Source organism: Homo sapiens, chromosome 4, assembly GCF_000001405.40.
Source record: "Homo sapiens chromosome 4, GRCh38.p14 Primary Assembly".
Lineage (NCBI taxonomy): Eukaryota > Metazoa > Chordata > Mammalia > Primates > Hominidae > Homo > Homo sapiens.
This window is the reverse complement of record NC_000004.12, coordinates 146,173,286-146,191,755: the sequence shown is the minus strand read 5'-3', so window position 1 is coordinate 146,191,755 and position 18,470 is coordinate 146,173,286. Positions and strand designations below refer to the sequence as shown.

The window sequence follows — 18,470 nt, the reverse complement described above, 5'->3', positions numbered from 1 at the left end:
GAGTGTGGCAGACAGGGTTTGGGGGCACACAGACAGGGAAAATGTATGTTCTCAAGTAAAAAATTCTTCAACCTGGAACAAATGTCTTCGCTACAATGCAACTAGAAATCATTCACTGACCTCTAGGAGACTACAGTTAAGAACAAAGCAATTTAAGCATTTACACTTTGTTTCATGGTTCTACTATGTGAAGGTATACACAGGGGACAACTTGAGCGGGTTCAAGTGCATAATACAGTCCTTTATTACCATAAAAATGGCAGCACTTCCCAAAGTTGATCTTGATTAAAAGTAGTTCCATGGTTGAAAACAGTACTCCACTGTAGAGCTATTAAACTAGAGAGATGGCAAGGGGAAAATAAAGACTTATATATCAAAGGCGAGGTCAGGGAAGAAGTTAGAAAAAACAGGACGCTACAGATTAGTGGGAGACTACAATGGAATTGCTTTTAGAGGTGGCTGATATAAGTGAATGAAGGGACACAATAACCTGCAGCCCCACATATTCTACAAAACAAATGAGAACATGTATGCTCCACTTGGAGAGCCATCCATTTTCTCCTTAAAAGAACTCATTTATAAAAGAGCAAATTGGTGATTTGTACTTACATACTGGACCTTTTCCAAGCCCCTGTCAAGAAGTGATAAATTATTGAAGCATAGCATAAAGTGTTTTATTTTCAGTGTGCACACGGTAAAACCCTGTGAAATGCTTCTGTTCACCTTTCCCAAGTTATTAATTAAAAAATAATTGTTTCCAATTACTCTCTGATCTTTAAAATAAACCAAGACAAAACACTACATACACCTCTCCAGAATCAGCACTGCCCCTTCCCTCTCTCCTTCTCGATCCTGCCCCCCATCCTTCAACCAAGCAGTTGTTTCGAATCACACCATCGGCTCCTGAAATAGGAATGCTATTTAGATTGGGAAGGGAGGGAAGAGGAAGTCCAATACAACATTCACACAATTGTCTGGTATTCATTCAACCACAGTGCCCAGATATATTTGTTGTTCCTAGAGACAGCGTAAAACTGTTTGGAGAATAAAGCAGGGTTGTGGAAAGCTCATTAATAAATTGTGAAAATCCTCTCAGCAGGAGTCACATAACCAGAGGAGCTGCCTTGTGCCAAGCAACATAAAGCCTGGTGCTCTGCTCCTGGACAATGTCAAAGGCAAATACAGCTGATTTTTGAGAAAGGCCTCCCTACAGCCACTTGCTAGACCAGAGTTAGGAAAAATTCTTTCCCAATCTCAGCTCGGCAATTAGAACCTGAATTATGTTTACAAACTCTAGGCTTTGCTTTAATCTGACTGTGAGAGATGTACAGGAATGGCCCCTCCCCTACTGTGTTCATAAACTGAGAGAATAACGTTGATGCCAATGCTCCTGAAAGGGAGCAGGGAAACCTAAAAAGTCTAATTGCATAAGGAGATGCAGGGGGACCACTGACAGGAGGGCTTTCTCCTCACTGAAATCTTGTTCATCTTTAGGATTTCTCCAGCACCTCAGTTCGAATTCCCACTCCTTATGTGCAAGTGGCACTCTTGGCTTTCCAATTCTGTTTTTTATTTAGGTGACTCAATCAGTGGCTGAACTTCTGATCCTGTGGCCCCTTTTTGTAGCTTCAGACTGAAACTGGATGCCTTTGTAGAACATATTCACGCAAGGATTCTGTATGAACAGAAAAGGATGCAATAAAGGAGGATTCCTCCAAAATGTTTTAATTATATGTCCATACAATATATAAAATATATGCATCATTTTAGCTGGATAAGAAAAGCAAGTCAAATGAAATGACACTTCTCGAAACTTAAGTTAAATAATCTTGTAGGAAGAGGTATATTTTGTCTTTTTTTAATTATTTTAGCATTCTGTACACTGACAACGAGGTAAAAGAAAATGACTGAAACTTACAAGTGAAAGAACATTTCACAATTAAATCCACAATTGTATACATTTATCTTACTCACATGTCAGTGAAAAATCACCAACTATTATAAAAAGAGGACAAATTGTATCACAAAAGAAGCAAAAATTAGAAAAAATTCATAAAAAAATATATCCAACTATGAAAAGCGTTGCTCTCTTGGTGTCTTCACATCCGTCTCTTCTGTGTACTGATGTACAACACTGAAAAGAAAAAAATACATAAATTGAAATTTAAAAAACCCTGCTTGTAAGTATACATAGTAGCAAGTTTAAAAGCCAACAGATTTTGGTCTGATACATCTGACATTTAAAAGGAATTCTCGTATCATTCAATTAACTCTAGAAGTACTGTAAGACTAGTTTTATGAATCTACACCCAGGTTTGATGTCTTACAAAACTGTCCTAATTTCATCCATGTGTCTCACTGACTCTTTAAAGTGTGACCAGGAAGATAAAATAAAATATATGTGAAAGTCCCTGGTATCTAAGAATGCTTTATAGTTAGAAGTATAAGAATTATGCTTTTCAGGGCTGAACACGGTGGCTCACGCCTGCAATCTTAGCACTTTGGGAGGCTGAAGCGGGTGGATCACTTGAGCTCAGAAGTTTGAGACCAGCCTGGGCAACATGGTGAAACCCCGTTTCTACCAAAAATACAAAAAATTAACCAGGCATGGTGGTATATGCACTTGTAGTCCCAGCGACTTAGAACGCTGAGGTGGGAGGACTGCTTGAGCTTGGGAGGCAGAGGCTGCAGTGAGCTGAGATTGCACAACTACACTCCAGCCTGGGCCACAGAGCGAGACTTCATCTCAGGAAAAAAAAAAAAAAAAAAAGATGCTTTTCAGAAAGTAAATCAGTAAATCTAACCAGGCTAGATCTCAAATTAAGAATAAACAACATATTTTCATCTGTCTCCCCAATACAAACTCTAAACTTGCTGTTTACCTTCTTAAATGCAACAGGATAAACAAGAGCTAAGGAGTTTATTTTTTATTTTTATTTTTTAATGATACCAAAGTCCTTATTCTGAGTTCCCGTTAAAAGTCTCATACTTTGGTGTTACCTAATGTTCTGCTTAGTGGTCTTCTCATGACTACCAACATGAACTCGTAGGATGTGTGGTCCGTAGGAATGAAACAAAATGAAATGCTTGGGTCACTTTGGCCAAACTAGAGGTGGTTCTCCCTTCCACCTTCCATGCCTACTCGGCTTCTGAGAGGTCTGCTCAAAGCGAACAGTAAGGTGTCTTCATCAAAGAACATAGCACAGATGAATCAAATAAGTCAAGATCCTCTTTAAGAGCCAATGATGTGAACTTGGGAGTCTAAAGATGAGTGTCACTGATTACATCATGGGAAATGTGACATGAAGGGAAGCATCAGAATGCCAGTACAGCCGCCCCCCAACCCTGCCCCCCAAGTCCTAGGGGTAGTGTGCACGTTAAAGGATCTACCCTATCAACACGCACAGAACCCAACCTGCCAGTGACTGCTGCCATTAGCTGTCTTGAGGTGAGACAAGATCATAACATTTCTTAGGAAAAAGAGGAGGTCAAATAAGGATATGAAAAATAGGATAAATAATTCTATAAATAGAAAGGACTAGAAAGCCAGGAAATAATGTATGTAAAAATATGATATGAAGAAATAAGGTCCTGTAAGCATAGGGGACAGACTCTTATTATAAAAGTCAGGAAGTTTAGTTTATAGCAAAGAGATCCAACTATTTAGGGGGTTGAAGACATCCAGAATTAAAGAAATCAACAAAAAATCTGAACTCAAGAATCCCAGAGTTTCTGGGAGATGGAACCAAAAAGTGGGGTAATTCTCATAATTCTGATATCTTTCCCTCCCCACCAAAAATACAAATATGACTTTATTATAATTTTCATTTTTAAACTAGGTACTTAAAAATAACTATAAAAATCATAGCAATTTATTAGTTGTTAAAAACTGAGTAACTTTTTCTATTTTGCCATTTTTGCCAAACTGAAGGATGCAAATCTGCATAGAAAGCATCTGAATGTTTAATAGAGAAGGGACAAATAGGACGAACTGCCAAATTATGCAAATCAAAGACAGCAGGGAAACGGTGCCCATTCTTACATCTCCAACTTCCAGGCTACAAGAAGCAGGAATATGTGTTGGGGAGATATACTACACTATATTCGAGAAAGCAGGGTTCCAGGTAAGGAGAACAATGTCCCTCAGTTCCTCATCACTAAAGGAAGGGAAGGAGAGAATTTTGGTTTCAAAATTCCATGAAGCATCTACAAAATAACTGGTCAAACTGAAGATCTGACATATAAGCATTTTAAAATAATCAAGCCTAAAAGTGGACTTTTAAATTATCTAGAAACCTCTTTGGTGATCTGGATTATAAATAGAAAGGCTTATTTTGAATGCTGTACTGTAGGGCGAAGAAATGTTACCATTGTTTCCTCGGATAAATGCATCCCCATACTTATTCTTCAGTTGTCCATTTACATATTCTTCTGTCTGCTCCAGGGCTATATTCATGTAGCCATCCAGGCAAGCCAGGACCCCTGCAGACATATTTAGTCAAAAAGAAGATACACAAGGCAAATAAGAGTTGAAAATTACAGGGTATACCTTAGAGCAGACAATCTCTTTATTCATTAGTTCTTAGATGCTTAATATAAAAATTCACACCATAAATGAAACTCAACAGCTTAAGCACAAAACAACTCTATGCCAATCTGAATGAAGTCTAGGAAGGCAGTCACGCACCCACTACTACCCGGTAAAACAACAAACTGTCACTTCCCTCATGGTACGTATGACCACACAGAAACTTTTAAAGCATTCAAAAAAGTAAGAGAATAAGACTATTCCGGCAAAAATACCATTCTTTGAAAGCTAAGCACAAGGTGGGCAATTATGCATAAACAAATGATCCTTGGTTCCAGTGGCATTTCCTACTTTAGCCACTAAGTGAAATACGGGTCTGGCAGATTTATTTCATTCTTTTACAACATCTATTGCAGCAGATGAATGTACTCCAGGGTTAAAAGGAAGTCTCCACAATCTGTTAAAATAATAGAAGAGGAGACAGCAGGTGCTCCCGAAAGAACATCTTAAAGCTGTGACTCACAGTGAAGAGCAGCTTGAGAATATAGGGCAACATATTGCATTATAACACATCTTGTTCTGTTTTGTTACAGCTATAATATTTTCCAATCAAAACTAATAGAGAAAATGGCCAAAAACATTCGAGGGAGCTTTCAAGGAAACAGTTTGAGTCAATCTTTAATTGTGTTAAGATGGTATAAATTTTGTAAAATTTGACCTGATGATCTTTTTCAAAAGATGAAAATCTGTAAGCCTCTAATTCTGTCTCTAATTTAAAGTGGTATTTCCTAGAAAAAAAAATTTAAGTAAAAACAAATACTAGATTCAATTCAGTCGAGTCTATAGTTTCTCATTTGATGTCTTAACTTCATTAATATGCTCCTCACTCTCTGCCTCTGCCCCCATTATCCTCTAAACAAAAAAGTTTCCTTTCAAAATTGTGTAATGACAGCAAAAGACATTAATCTACCAGAATTCTGCTAAAAGCGGTAAACTCTCAAAGAACGAGAATGGACTGTGAATAATAAAATTATTTCCTAGCAAAAGAAAGCTTAAGCTACAACTTTAGCTCGTTTCCTGCTGTACTATTTTACATACAAACTGCAATTATAAATGAGCAAGAAAAATCTGAGGCACAATATGCAAACCTGTTTGAAAACCAATGAAAAGAATTTCAAAATGAAATGTCCAGGCTGGGCAAAGTGGCTCATGCCTGTAATCCCAGTACTTTGGGAGGTAGAAGCTGGCAGATCACTTGAGGTCAGGAGTTCAAGATCAGCCTGGCTAACATGGCGAAACCCCGTCTCTACTAAAAATACAAAAATTAGCCAGGCATGGTGGCAGGTGCCTGTAATCCCAGCTACTTGGGAGGCTGAGGCAGGAGAATCGTCTGAACTTGGGAGGCGGAGGTTGCAGTGAGCCAAGACTGAGCCACTGCACTCCAGCCTGGGCGAAAGAGTGAGACTCGGTCTCAAAAAAGAAAAAAGAAAAAAAAAAAAGAGTTCACTTCTAATTAAAATATCTATTCTCACAGCAAAGGCAAAAACAAACAAACAAACAAACAAGCAACAACAACAACAAAAAAACTGCCCAGGGGGTTAGAAATACAACCCTTTCCTTCCATGAGATAAACTACTATACAAAACCAAAAACAAGACATTTTCTCAAAGAGAAACTGCTACAGAGAGTTGCTGGAGTTTTTCTTTTTTTTTTTTTTTTGGTATGTTGTTGTTTTGCTTTGGGGTTTTTTGGGGTTTTGTAAACCACAAAATAAGCACGTTCCTTTAGTAAGGCTATCTAATAGTATAAAACATTTTGCTTTAATAGTATAAAGGCCATTCATAAGAGGAAAAAAAATTATGGTTACTATCCATGTGAAAGACTCCTGAATCTCACTAGTAAACAAAGAAAATATATGTAGAATGAGATATTACTTGTTGCCAATTAGATTGGAAAAGATGAAAAAAAGCTAATACAAGAGTTGGTGAGAACATGAAGGATAAACCCAAGTTCCCTGATGCAGGGCCATGGAATACTCTCTGACTTGTAAATCCTAGCCCAGGGAATTGATTCTAAAGAGATGTTTGGTCAACTTCACAATATATGTCAAAGTAGAAGAGTTGTTTATAGTGGCAAAAAACTGGTCAACACCTAAATGTCCATTAATAGGAAATTGGTTAACAGTAAAAGCAAAACCATGGTACAGCCACACAAGAGATTCCTATGCAGCCATTAAACCCTCTATATTATTACAAAACTAAATGTACTGTTTCAACGTTTAAAAAAAAAATCAGGTTGCATGTAGTTGACTCCATTTATGTCAAATTATGCTAATATAGAGGTCAAAATTGGTAAACTGTCTCTGGATAGTAGCATTGGGGATCCTTGGCTTTCTTCTATATACTTTTCTGTATTATTTCCTTTTACATTTCTAAAATTAAAACAAAACTAAAACATGTATTGCCTTTATAAATAGAAAAATTTTCCCTAAAGAGTACAGAGAAAAAAGGTCAGGCTGGTTCATCTCTTCAATAAAGTGGGTACTGAGAAGACATTGAACACAATGTCCTCACTTTAATCAACTGTCAAACAGATTAAAACCCCTAGAAGTCTATTACTTCCTATGGGCCCATCATCAAAAGTTCGCAGGTGAGAGGCAGTACACGGAGACATTATACTACCTCAGTATTCCGTATGAATCCATTAATTTTACTATAAAAATAAAATTAAACTGGAGATACGTTATTAATGTCAAGAAGCTAAAGGAGTACATAATCACCAGAGTGGTTTCTTAACAAGGCTTATGAGCCGAGCCTGAACTTGAGTCCTAGCTCCTCCTCTACTAGGTGGGGATAATCAATAGAGATTTCAAAGGAAAAAGCTCAAGAGATTACTATGACTATTAATTATTCAGAAAAGAGACCAAAAAAAGGCCACAAAAACCTGTGCTATGGTTTGAATGTGTCCCCTCCAAAATTCAGGTGTTTGGCAATAGGAGAGTATTAAGAGGTGGGGGCCTTTAAGAAGCAAGCAGACCATGGGGACTTGCCCATTAATGGGATGAAGGCCTGCATTAAAAAAAAGTCTTCACGCAGTGTGCTGGTTTGCCCTCTGCCTTCTGCCACGTGAGGACTCAGCATTCCTCCTCTCTGGAGGACGTAGCCCTCACCAGACAACTGAACCTGCTGGCACCTTGATCTTGGATTTCCTAGCCACCAGAACTGTGAGAAAATAAACTTCTGTTTTTGAAAATTACCCAGTCTAGAGGCGGAGCTTGCAGTGAGCCGAGATCGCGCCGCTGCACTCCAGCCTGGGTGACAGAGCGAGACTCCGTCTCAAAAAAAAAAAAAAAAAAAAGAAAATTACCCAGTACAGTGCTCAGGTGACGGGTGCACCAAAATCTCAGAAACCACCACTAAAGAACGTATCTATGTAACCAAAAAAACCACCTGTACCCCCAAAAACTACTGAAATAAATAATAAAAAAAATACAAAAAATGAAAATAAAAATGACCCAGTCTGTGGTATTCTGTTATAGCAACCCAAGAGACCACGTCCCTCTGCTAATGAATCAGTTATAGTTACACCTGCCAAATATTTCAGGTAACTTAACATACCTTAGCTTGGAAGATAAGAAATTCAGTAACTTTAAAAAACGGAATTTAAAACCATTCTTCCTATAAAGTTAATTTCAAAAGCACTGCAGCCTCTTAAAAATAATATTCTCTCCAAGAACAGAAAGGCATTTTTTTTTTTGAGACAGAGTCTCACCCTGTTGCCACACACATTATACGTTATATGAGTGGGACATTCAGGTTGTAAAATGATACTCAACAGCTGCTTGCCAATCTTGAATACTCCTGCAAAAACAAATGCTGCTGCACCAAGATGTTCTTCAGTTGTGTTGTTCATACCTGAGTTCACTAGGAATACCTAGCTATTACCAGGGAATTTAGGCACATATGATCTCAAAGCAGAGACAGGAGACAGAAGTCACACAAATCACACTGAAAGGCAGAAGCACATGCTATACTGTCAGAGTTGTCCTTCTAAAAGGAATGATCTCAGAGATAGAAAAAGATATATGCATAAAAACTACTGATGACCAGTACTTTTTTGGCCTATTGGGTATACTTAAGAGGTTAATAAATATCAGTAAGTCACATTTACTTATTCAGTTATACCAGTGAGGTTGAAACATGAAAATATTACCTCGATAATCCACTCCAGAATTTAATTTTACCACAACTGGTCGTCCGATGATTTGCTTTAAGAAGTCACTAGGGGTTTGCTTCCGAAGACTCATTTTAACAATCCTAAATCAAAATATGAAAAGGAACAATAAAAGGTAAAGACCAAAGTTGATTATTCAACAAAACCCTTAAAGCCCTTAACATACTTACAGAAAATGAAGTATCAAAGGACCATGCGAGAAGACGCGTATTACTCCACTGCTACTACATGACAGCTAACATGTTTTCAGTACTTACTATGAGCCAGATACTAAGCTAAACATTCTACATGCATTATCTTATCAGTACCCACAACACCATGGCACAGTCTCATTAGGGAAAGTCCTGTGTTTACAAAAGCACCTGCTCTTAATCACTTATCATTACTGCCTGACACATAGTCAGTATACCCATTACAACCATTACCACTTCCATTCAGTGAGTGGTTGGTTATTTTATGCAAAGCATTCTGCTAAGGTCTTTATAAACACTATCACATTTCATCTTTACAAGAACCATGGGAAGAAGGTCTTAATACCCTCATTTTGCTGATGAAAAGTAAAGGCACAGAAAGATTAAATAATTTGTTCCCAAATGTGATGGAACATTCAAGTTCAAATCAGCCCTATTTTAAAGTCCGTATTATATAGAACAGACATATTTATGAACAACTGATGCCTAAATGGTATCTCTGAAAAGAATTATAATCTAAAGGTAATTTTGAGTGTACTATATGCCAGCACTTTTCCAAGAACTTTATATATATTAATCAATTTAAATTGCTCTACCCTAAAAGGGAGGTATTGTTTTTATCCTCATTTTACACATGAAGAAGAAGACACAGAAAGATTAAACACTCTGCTCAAGGTCACACAGCTAGAAAGTGGATAGCCAGCCCATACTCTTAATCACAACCTTAAACAGCTTTCTGAAAGTCAATAACACAGTCAAAGATTTTTAATTACTCTATTAGGACTATAGCAGATATGTGCTCTAAATAATGAAGAAAAAAGTCTTAAAACTCAAGTATAACAGGAGTCTAACACAGAAAAAGAGATAGCATTACACACCCAAATCAACAGCATCAGACATGCAAAGCTGCACATCACTCCTTTCAAAACGCATCTTTTCTTATAAAATAGCTCTCTTTCAAAATATGTTGGTAAGTTAATAAAACTGTAGTTAAGCAAAAACTGAGTAAAAATATTTCAGAAATTAATTTTTCTGTTTCAGTCAAATTCAGCATCACTATTATTCAGCAGCTATATAGCACTGAGACTTAAAAGTTAGTATGGATACAATATTTTAAGGATTCCCTTCAAGAACTCAAGCTGTTCTTTTGTTTTCAATGAAATTTTTTCATTAAATATTCTTCCATTATTTTTTCATTAAACATTCTTCCACTATGCTTATTTCATTCTAAGTCCATCCACTCAATAATCTGAGTTTGTGTGGAGAAGGATTATTTGGAGACGTTCTCATAGTGAATTCACACGGGATCAGCAGTTGTAGTAAGCTGGAACTCTAGGTTACTGGGCTCAACAAATTACATGTACATGTACACACTGAGCAAGGAAATTCAAAAACATGTCATACACAAAGGCTCTGCCTTAAAGAACTTAAAATCTAGAAGAATTTAAACTCATTTAAAGAGTGTGAGTAAACAAACGCAATCATAATTTAAGTAAAATAATTTTATTTAGCCAAGAAAAGTCAACATCCTAAGTCAAATAAAAGAAAATACAAATTTCAGAAATTATCTTTGAATTTTGGGCTATCATTTGGACAATCTACACTGCCCCCAAGGTTTGAAAGATGTTTTTAAAATGCAATAAATTATTTTGCTCAACAAATGTTAACTTAACTTTTCCACTGAATTTCTAGCTTATTTTATTAGCTCCACAATCTCAACAGATAACTACAATTACAACTACTATTACAACTACTATTCAGGACAACCACTTTTCATTCAGGACTCAGATCACACAGTAATTTTATTTACACTGTTCTGAGTACAAAGTGAAAAAATACAAAATAAATACTGTAACAGATTCAGTACCTTTAATGAGTTTAGTGAAAATACACAAATCTTCCCATTCATCTATAAACCGCCTTATTTACATTTTGAATACATGCTGTTTTGAGGCTGAACACATCTAGAGAGAATATTAACTCTGAAGGCCTGATACTCAACTGATGAGTCAGGTGCATTTCCTATCACAGATGCTAAATCCCATTATGCCACAGTTTCATTATGTATAAAACTGAGATAAAAGTAGCTATTTTGTGTTAAAAATCACTAAAATGCTTTGTAATGTGATTCTAGTTCATGGAGATATTAACTACTTTAATTATTACTAATTTCATCTGCTCATAGAGTATTTACAGTTTCAGATTAAAAACATTTGAAAAGCAAAAGCTGGAAAGAGTTAATAACTGTCAGAAAAAAGAATGCAAATCTTGACTATCAGTTGCTTGACAGTATAGGTTATTTTAAAAGTATTATTAATATTAACTTTCCACACCTTTTTATAAACACAGATATGTTCTTCTAAGCTCACCAAAGATAACGCCTTGTCCATTATGCTTTATCTGTATTCCAATTAACATCAATCTCTTCCTGAAGGCAATCAACACTTCCAACTTTCACGGAGCACCTGTCAAGTTCAGGCGCACAGGGTTGGGGAATGTAACACAAAGACAAGGCCTTAAGCCCTCAGAGTTTACATTCCAGAGAGGGCAAGAAACATGTAAATGCAGAATTTTACAAAGGTGATGTGTATTCTGATAGAATTATGCACAAAAGGGCAGAGAACACTCTCTTACCCCAGGCTTGGCAGATCAAAGAATTTCTGGAAGTTAACACCTGAGCTGAATTTGAAGGAAAAGGCGTCACCCCCTAGCTGAAAGAAGAGAAGTCAGAAAAGGCACGGAACAAGTGTCTGGGTAGAACGTAAAATCTACATAGGCAAGGAGGAGACGCCTCTGCGGCAGGGAGCTGTGCCACATTCACAGGGAGCACAGAGTTGAGGCTCTGGGTCAGTTTCCCAAACTTGAATCATTAGGATCAGCTGGAGATTCTACTCAGTAGTTCTGGGGTAGGAGCCAGCAATCTATTTGAACAAGCCTAGGAAATAACTGGCAAGGGGAAATACTGTTGTCAATGATAGGAAACAGGGGTTTTAAGCAGGAACTTGCTTGGGTTCCACTCTCTACTTTCCATAGCAGAGTGCAGATGCCCATCTCACCTACTTTTGGCATCACATAGTTTGGCATTTGATTTTATTTGCTATAACCTGTCACTATGCCCTCTTTTGTATTCTTTATGTGGGTCTTTTCTCCCTCAAAATACTGTAAGCCACATGACAAGAGGGGCTCACAAGCTTCTCATCTGTTCTCTAGAATATCTACATTCTACTAAACCTCTTGGAAAAAAAATACTTCTAAGGTTATTTGGAAAAGAGTATATGGGTTGCCTCAAACACATTTTATCCATCACTTTAGGAAAGCCGTATCTTTTACATTAGTCTTCATTAGGCTTCCTTGCTACTCCCTGTTACTTAATGACTTGCCCATAAATCCATTTTGTATGAGTAAATTGGTCTTGACACCACAATTTTTCCCATCACTTGGCTCAAGTAATTTTAAGTTTTCATCTTTTAAATTGGATAAAGCAGAAGAAACAGTTCTGACAATTTCTGAAGCAAGAGATGAGTCTCTTGAACCATAAACACATAAGAGGAAAAAGACCTTTCTTCAGGGTCACCCTGGTAAAACTTCTCCTTTCAAAATTAAAGTCATAATCACTCTCTATACCTCCTCTCCCTCCCCTGACTCCTACTCAGGCTTGTTTTAAATGACCTATTTTCATAAATGACTATTAAGTCAAAGGCAGTATATTTTCTGTCAGAAGCTACTGAGAGGTCTAGTATGAAAACATCTGCAAAGTGCCCTGCAGGGAATTTTTTTCTTTTTGGTAAAAGAATGAAGAAAAAAAAGAACTTTTATTAACCCAACTATGTGCTACCAGAGTTAGATTCATAAGCAATTTACAGAGAAACCCTGTGAGGTGGAAAGCAAAGCCAAGGCTGACCCCAAAGCCCAAGCCCTTTCACAGGTACAGCTGCCCTTCTGAATATGTTAAGATTCTCTGGTTAAATCTTGGGGAATCGCAATAGAGGCGGTGAGAAATCCAGTTGGAGAGTAGCAGCACTGGGGAAAAAAAATACCTAACGTGACAAAGTGCTGTAAATTAGCCTCAGAGAAATACAATGGACAGATGCAAAGAAATCTATCTCATGTGATTTGAGTTATGCCACTGAGCAGAAGACATGAAAATCCTTATTTCTTGGCAATGTTTACCTGTAAGTTTTTACCTACTCCTGGCGTATTTACAGTTTAGGGTGAAAAGAATTTGAAAAGCAAAAATTGCAAGGAAACATTACAATCCAAGTAATTGCAGCACTAGACTAATAGATCAGTGTCTGAGGAGGCGATCAGATAGGCAGAAGAACAGCTCTCTAAATCCTCCCTTCGGACACAGTGGAGTTCCTCGCTGTCTTTTGAAGGCTTCATACCAATCCCTCCTTCCTCGGCAGCAGGGGCTACTTCTCTCCCTCTCTCCCAAAGGCGAAGTGAGTCCACTCAGAGCACCTCTTTCCACTCTCAGTCATGGCCCTTATCAGGCTGTTTCGTAATTTTTCCATTTGCTGACTGGTCTCCCGTGCGAATTTAAAGCTTCTTGGGGACAGGGAAAATATCTTACTCACTTGGTGTCCCTGGTACCTAAGCACACTACCCAAGTCTGTGGAAGAGACATTCAAGGCCAGTGCCAAGCAAAATCCCTGTCCAGCCCCCATCAGCCCAAACTATGGATACAGTGACCAGTAGGATCATGCATGTACTTCAACAAATACTAACCAAGTAATCTCTATTATGAGCACCAAAAACTGAGAAAACAACTGTTTGTGTCATTCAAGAACCAGCTGTTTCCAAATCTAGAGATGCTTGTTAAAATGCAGATTTTCCCGAAGTCTACTCAGGTAAAGGCACTGTATTTTACATTTTATAAAGTTCTCCAGATAATTTCTATAAGCAAATGGTTCTCATCTAGGGGCAGTACCCCCAACCCTGCCCCACCCTGCTCAGGGACACTTGGAAATATCTGGGGACACTGAACTGTCATGACTGAGGAAGGTGGTGCTACTGCTATCCTAGTGGGTAGAGACCAGGGATGTTGCTAAACATTTTACAACTAACAGGACGGCCCTCCACAACAAAGGACTGCCCAGCACAAAATGTCAATGGAAGTTGACAATCTCTGCTATAAGCCCTAAATAAAAAAATAAATAAAAATAAATAAAAATAAAAAAAATTGTTCTTTGGTTTTAAAGTGAGGAGTTTTAAAGAAATCTCCAAGGTACCGCAAATGATAACCAAAAGCTACATTCTAACCAAATGATGGAGTGTAGGTTATAATTAATCAGGGGTGTTTTATTCTAACATATAGGGAACCTGAAAACAACTGTCAAAATCTTGAAGGGGTTGCCATTCTAAATAATGGATTTCTAGTCTTGGCCATGAAAATGATCACTTTCCAATTTTTCAGTGTTACAGGTCTCTCCGATGATTAAAATCTGTTAGTACACTTTTAAAAGGAGAGAATAACCCAGGTGATGTAAACAAATTTTTAAATTCTAGTATCTACTATGCCACAGTTCAGTGAGAGACTGCCTGATACAGCACAGAGTACTCACTTGGGAGGCAGGAAACCTGAGTTCTAATCCCAGCTCTGCTACTTAATTAGCTGTGTGACTTGGATAACTCATAATTTCACTTCTCATGGCCCCAGGTTCCTCATCTGCAATATAAGGGAGTTATGCCAGATGACCACTTAAGTCTCTTCCTGCCCTAACATTCAGGTAGTCTAACGCATTAACGCCAGTGACACACACACACACACACACACCACAAACACAAGCCTCTCAAGATTTCTGCACAATATTTAAGCAAGTAAAATTACCAAACATCTCTAAAACTTTTTTGGAAAACACTGCAGCAATGTGTATGAAGGCCTAAAACAGACCTTTCAGATGACAGCATCTAATCTGATAATTTCACTTCTGAGAATCTAGTCCAAGGAAATAATCTAAAAAATAGGGGGAAAAGAGTTTATCAAAGCACTATCTGGGATGCTAAGATGATGTAAAAATTCAAAAACAATCTAATGTCCCACAATCGGGAAATGACTGAATAATTTACGGGACCTAAACTGGGACCCACAATGATAGGACAATCAAAAGAAGATACAAAATTAGAATAATATTTAGGAAGAGTTTTTAAATGGAAGTGGAAAACTACACTGTTAAGTGATTAAACATGTACACTCTTAGTTCAAGTAGAAGCTAGCACATACAAGAGAAAATGATCGTAGGTGAAAGGGTTCAGTGAATATTATTTTCTTCACTAAAGTCTTCTATGTTTGCAATTTTCTACAATAGTCACGTATTACTAAGAGCAGTGGGGCAGGGTAATCCGCATCATCTTAATCCTACACACCTTAAAAATGCCTGCTATGCAGGTGTGCGGACACGCATACGCACAGAAAACCTTGGGCGATAGGACTTAAGACCATACAATCGGGTTCCTCGACCTGACAACTTGGTAAGACAGGCGAGTCCAGCCTTTAATTCCTGTGGTCAGGCGCAGCCACCCCGATGTAGGAGAGGGTTCGCAATTCCCTGAAGCCCTCCTGGAAGACAGGCGAAGCCTAGGCCTGGGTTCGGGATCCGCTTTCCCGCCGAATCTTGGGATTAGCGTCGGGGCTCCCTGGGGAACTTCAACAACCTGAATTGATCTCGGACGCCAACTCGGTAGGAGCCGGGACGGTGCCGCTCCTCTCCGCGCAGTCTAGGCGCCTCGCTGAGGGCGGTCCCGGCGCCCACCATCAGACCTCTCCCAGCCATTCCATGCGCGGAGAGCTTGGACGCGGCATTTCGCGGGGACCCGCCACCCAGCGGTCCCTTCCCGGAGCCCCAGCCTGTTCACCGCAGGCCCTTTCCGGGGCTGCCTCGCCCGGCCTAGGGCCGCTGCAGCCGCCGCTCCACAGCGCGACTGAACACTGGGGCACCGAACCTGGGGCTGCGCCCGGCCCCGTCGTCGGCCCGCGCAGCGGTGCGGCTCACCTCGCCGGCGGGAACCAGAACCCTCACTCCAGGCGCCCCACGAGCCCGGCCGCCGCGGATGATCCCAGCCAAAACCGAAAGCGCCGAGGCAGGGGCACTTTTCTGCCTCAGCCAATCAGTGCTCTTCTCTGCTACGGCAGCCCGCTGGGGCCGAAAAAGCCTGTCAGCACCAAAGCGCGCAAATCCAAGATTCCTGGTTTGTCTAGTAGCAAAATTGGTGCAGTGGAGTTCCTCTAACAGAAATCTGAGTACAAAACAAATACAATACAAAACAAAAACAAAATTCCAGGAAACTAGAAGTGATCTTTTGGGCAGGATTTATTTACAGAAGTGTAAAAAATAACTTGAAGTCATAGGAAACTGGAATTTACTGTTTAAGTAACGGCATTGTGTACCCAGAAACGTCCTTGAATAGTTTAAAGCAAATAAATAAATAAATGAAACACCTCAAGTCTTTAAATCTACCTCTGGATATTGATTAAATGTGTGAAGACTTAAGCCATTTTAGCAAGAGACTGTTTCCATGGCAATGTTAATTGATACAAAAATAATCAAAATCACTCAAGTAACTCCAAATTATAATGACATTAATTGTGTTACATTACTAGTTCCTATTGGAAATGGTGTGCAGACTTATTTCAGTGCTACTATGGGAACTTGGTTTGGAATTTTGCATGAATTCTCAATACTCTTTCTATTAATGGAATTGAAAGGGAAAAAGAAGAGAACTGTTACACCAGGACTTGATTCGTTTTTCCCCCTCCACATATACTCTCATCAGTTGAAAACTTATACTTTAATTATATTTATGATTTGTAACACTATACACAGAGTGATAAGATCTTTCAACACAGATCCTTAACCCCATTAGGTGTTATAAAATCTAAGATGCAAAATTTTTTTCGAAGATAAAGAGTTCCTCCCTTGTAAACTTCTTTTGGTTAAAGGCAGAAGAAATGAACTTTTGATTGATATCAGGGACAGAAAACAACTGGATATGATTTGTTAAAGAATAGAGACTTCCTTATATCCTTCTATAAAAGTTCAGTTTGGATAAAGACCGAACAGTTACTGATTTATTGTGAGGGCTGTATTTGAAGTTCTTGCAATATAAAATACAATGTAAATAAAAATTTTAAGAAAAGTACCATTTAAATCAAATAATTACGTGCAAAGAACAAACATAATAGGATAAAAAGCCCTGTTCCTAAAAACTTTCTTTGCAAACGACATCAAATTGCACATTCCTTACTGATTGTTTAAATTATTAAAAAAAAAAAGAAAATTTTTGATTCAAACTTCTTTCCCTTTCCTACAGAGCCCTAATCGAGCCGTTAACACTAGTGTGGTGGGTAGGGAGCCATGAGGAGTTTTAAGGGCCTAGTTCATCTGCTGAGCAGCTGCAACCTTCTCTAAGGGGAGTAGCTGGGTAAGGGCCCAGTTTGACACACGGGGTGGGCATCCTGAATTAATTCATGAGCTAACAAGCTTATAAAAAGTGTGGCTGTTCCCAAAAGCCCCTCAGCAGCTTATAAATGACTTTTACTAACTCACAAGGCAATTTTCCGTATTTCCCAGGTTTTTGCTTTCAGCATCTTTTATGATGCAAAGAAAACACTGCAAGACTTTTGGTGAATACTAGTCTTCAAAACCCTGAATGTAAACATTAATTTATTAAGGAGCCTTAAAGTCATAAAAATATTTTGGCAAGCTTTAGTTTAACTTATGTAGTTTAGTTTCATTTAGTTGTTAGGACTGATGAACCTACACTGACACATCATTATCATCCAAAGGCCAAAGTTTACATTAGGGTTCACTCTTGGTGTTGCACATTCTATAGGTTTTGACAAATGCATAATGAAATGTACCCACAATTACAGTATCATACAGAATAGTTTCACTGCCCTAAAAATTCTCTGTGCTCCACCTATTTATCCCTTCCTCCCCACTGGCAACCGCTGATCTTTTTTCTGTCTCCAAAGTTTTGCCTTTTTCCACAATATCATATATTTGGAATCATACCGTACACAGTTAGTGGTGCATACACTGCACCACCCCACTGTGTAGCCTGTTCAGACTGGCTTCTTTCACTTAGAAATATGCATTTAAGACCCCTCTGCGCCTTTTCATGGCTTGACAACTCATTTCTTTTAAGTTCTGAATAATATTCCATTATTTGGATGTACCACAGTTTATTTATCCATTTACCTACAGAAGGACATCTTGGTTGCTTCCAAGTTTGGGAAGTTATGAATAAAGCTGCTATGAATATGTGTATGCAGGTTTTTGTATAGAAATAAGTTTTCAGCTTATTTGGGCAAATATCAAGGAGTATGACTGCTAGATCATATAGCAAGGGTATGTTTAGTTTTGTAAGAAACTGCCAAACTGTCTTACAATGTGGCTGTACCATTTTGCATTCCCACTAGGAGTGAATGAGAGTTTCCATTGTTCCACATCCTCATGGGCATTTGGTGCTTCCAGTCCTTTGGATTTTGACTAGTCTAATAGCTGCTTAGTGACTAT

The 18,470-nt window shown here is 38.4% G+C and overlaps 1 protein-coding gene across 4 annotated transcripts, besides 1 other annotated feature; it reads right to left on the bottom strand.

Annotated features, from left to right (window-relative positions):
* Window positions 1–220: 220 nt before the first annotated feature.
* Window positions 221–16,038, bottom strand: LSM6 (LSM6 homolog, U6 small nuclear RNA and mRNA degradation associated). 4 transcript variants are annotated; one of them, XR_001741098.2, is made up of 5 exons: window positions 15,945–16,038; window positions 8,741–8,844; window positions 4,369–4,482; window positions 1,975–2,134; window positions 221–1,675 (listed from the first exon to the last, which is right to left on the bottom strand). XR_001741098.2 is itself a non-coding variant. In XM_017007673.2 (4 exons), the coding sequence occupies exons 2-4, from the start codon at window positions 8,832–8,834 to the stop codon at window positions 2,100–2,102; spliced, it is 243 nt and encodes an 80-aa protein (XP_016863162.1). In that variant the 5' UTR covers window positions 8,835–8,844; window positions 15,319–16,038; the 3' UTR covers window positions 221–2,099. The 4 variants fall into 4 exon arrangements, 3 of the variants coding, with proteins under 3 accessions (XP_016863162.1, XP_016863161.1, NP_009011.1); XM_017007673.2 differs by having other exon boundaries at window positions 221–2,134; window positions 15,319–16,038; XM_017007672.2 differs by having other exon boundaries at window positions 221–2,134; window positions 8,741–8,850.
* Window positions 15,829–15,888: a silencer, noted in NCBI's record as "silent region_15739". NCBI's record gives its function as "represses an Ori minimal core promoter by ATAC-STARR-seq in GM12878 lymphoblastoid cells {active_cell/tissue: GM12878}" and the evidence as "EXISTENCE:reporter gene assay evidence [ECO:0000049][PMID:35858748]".
* Window positions 16,039–18,470: the final 2,432 nt, after the last annotated feature.

Excerpts from the sequence above, each read along its gene's own strand:
- LSM6 (XM_017007673.2), bottom strand. The coding sequence starts at position 8,834 with ATGAGTCTTCGGAAGCAAACCCCTAGTGACTTCTTAAAGCAAATCATC. Across the intron at positions 4,483-8,740 it reads TTCTGGAGTGGATTATCGAG|GGGTCCTGGCTTGCCTGGAT; the intron begins GTAATATTTTCA and ends ATATGTCTGCAG. Across the intron at positions 2,135-4,368 it reads ATTTATCCGAGGAAACAATG|TGTTGTACATCAGTACACAG; the intron begins GTAACATTTCTT and ends TTTTCTTTTCAG.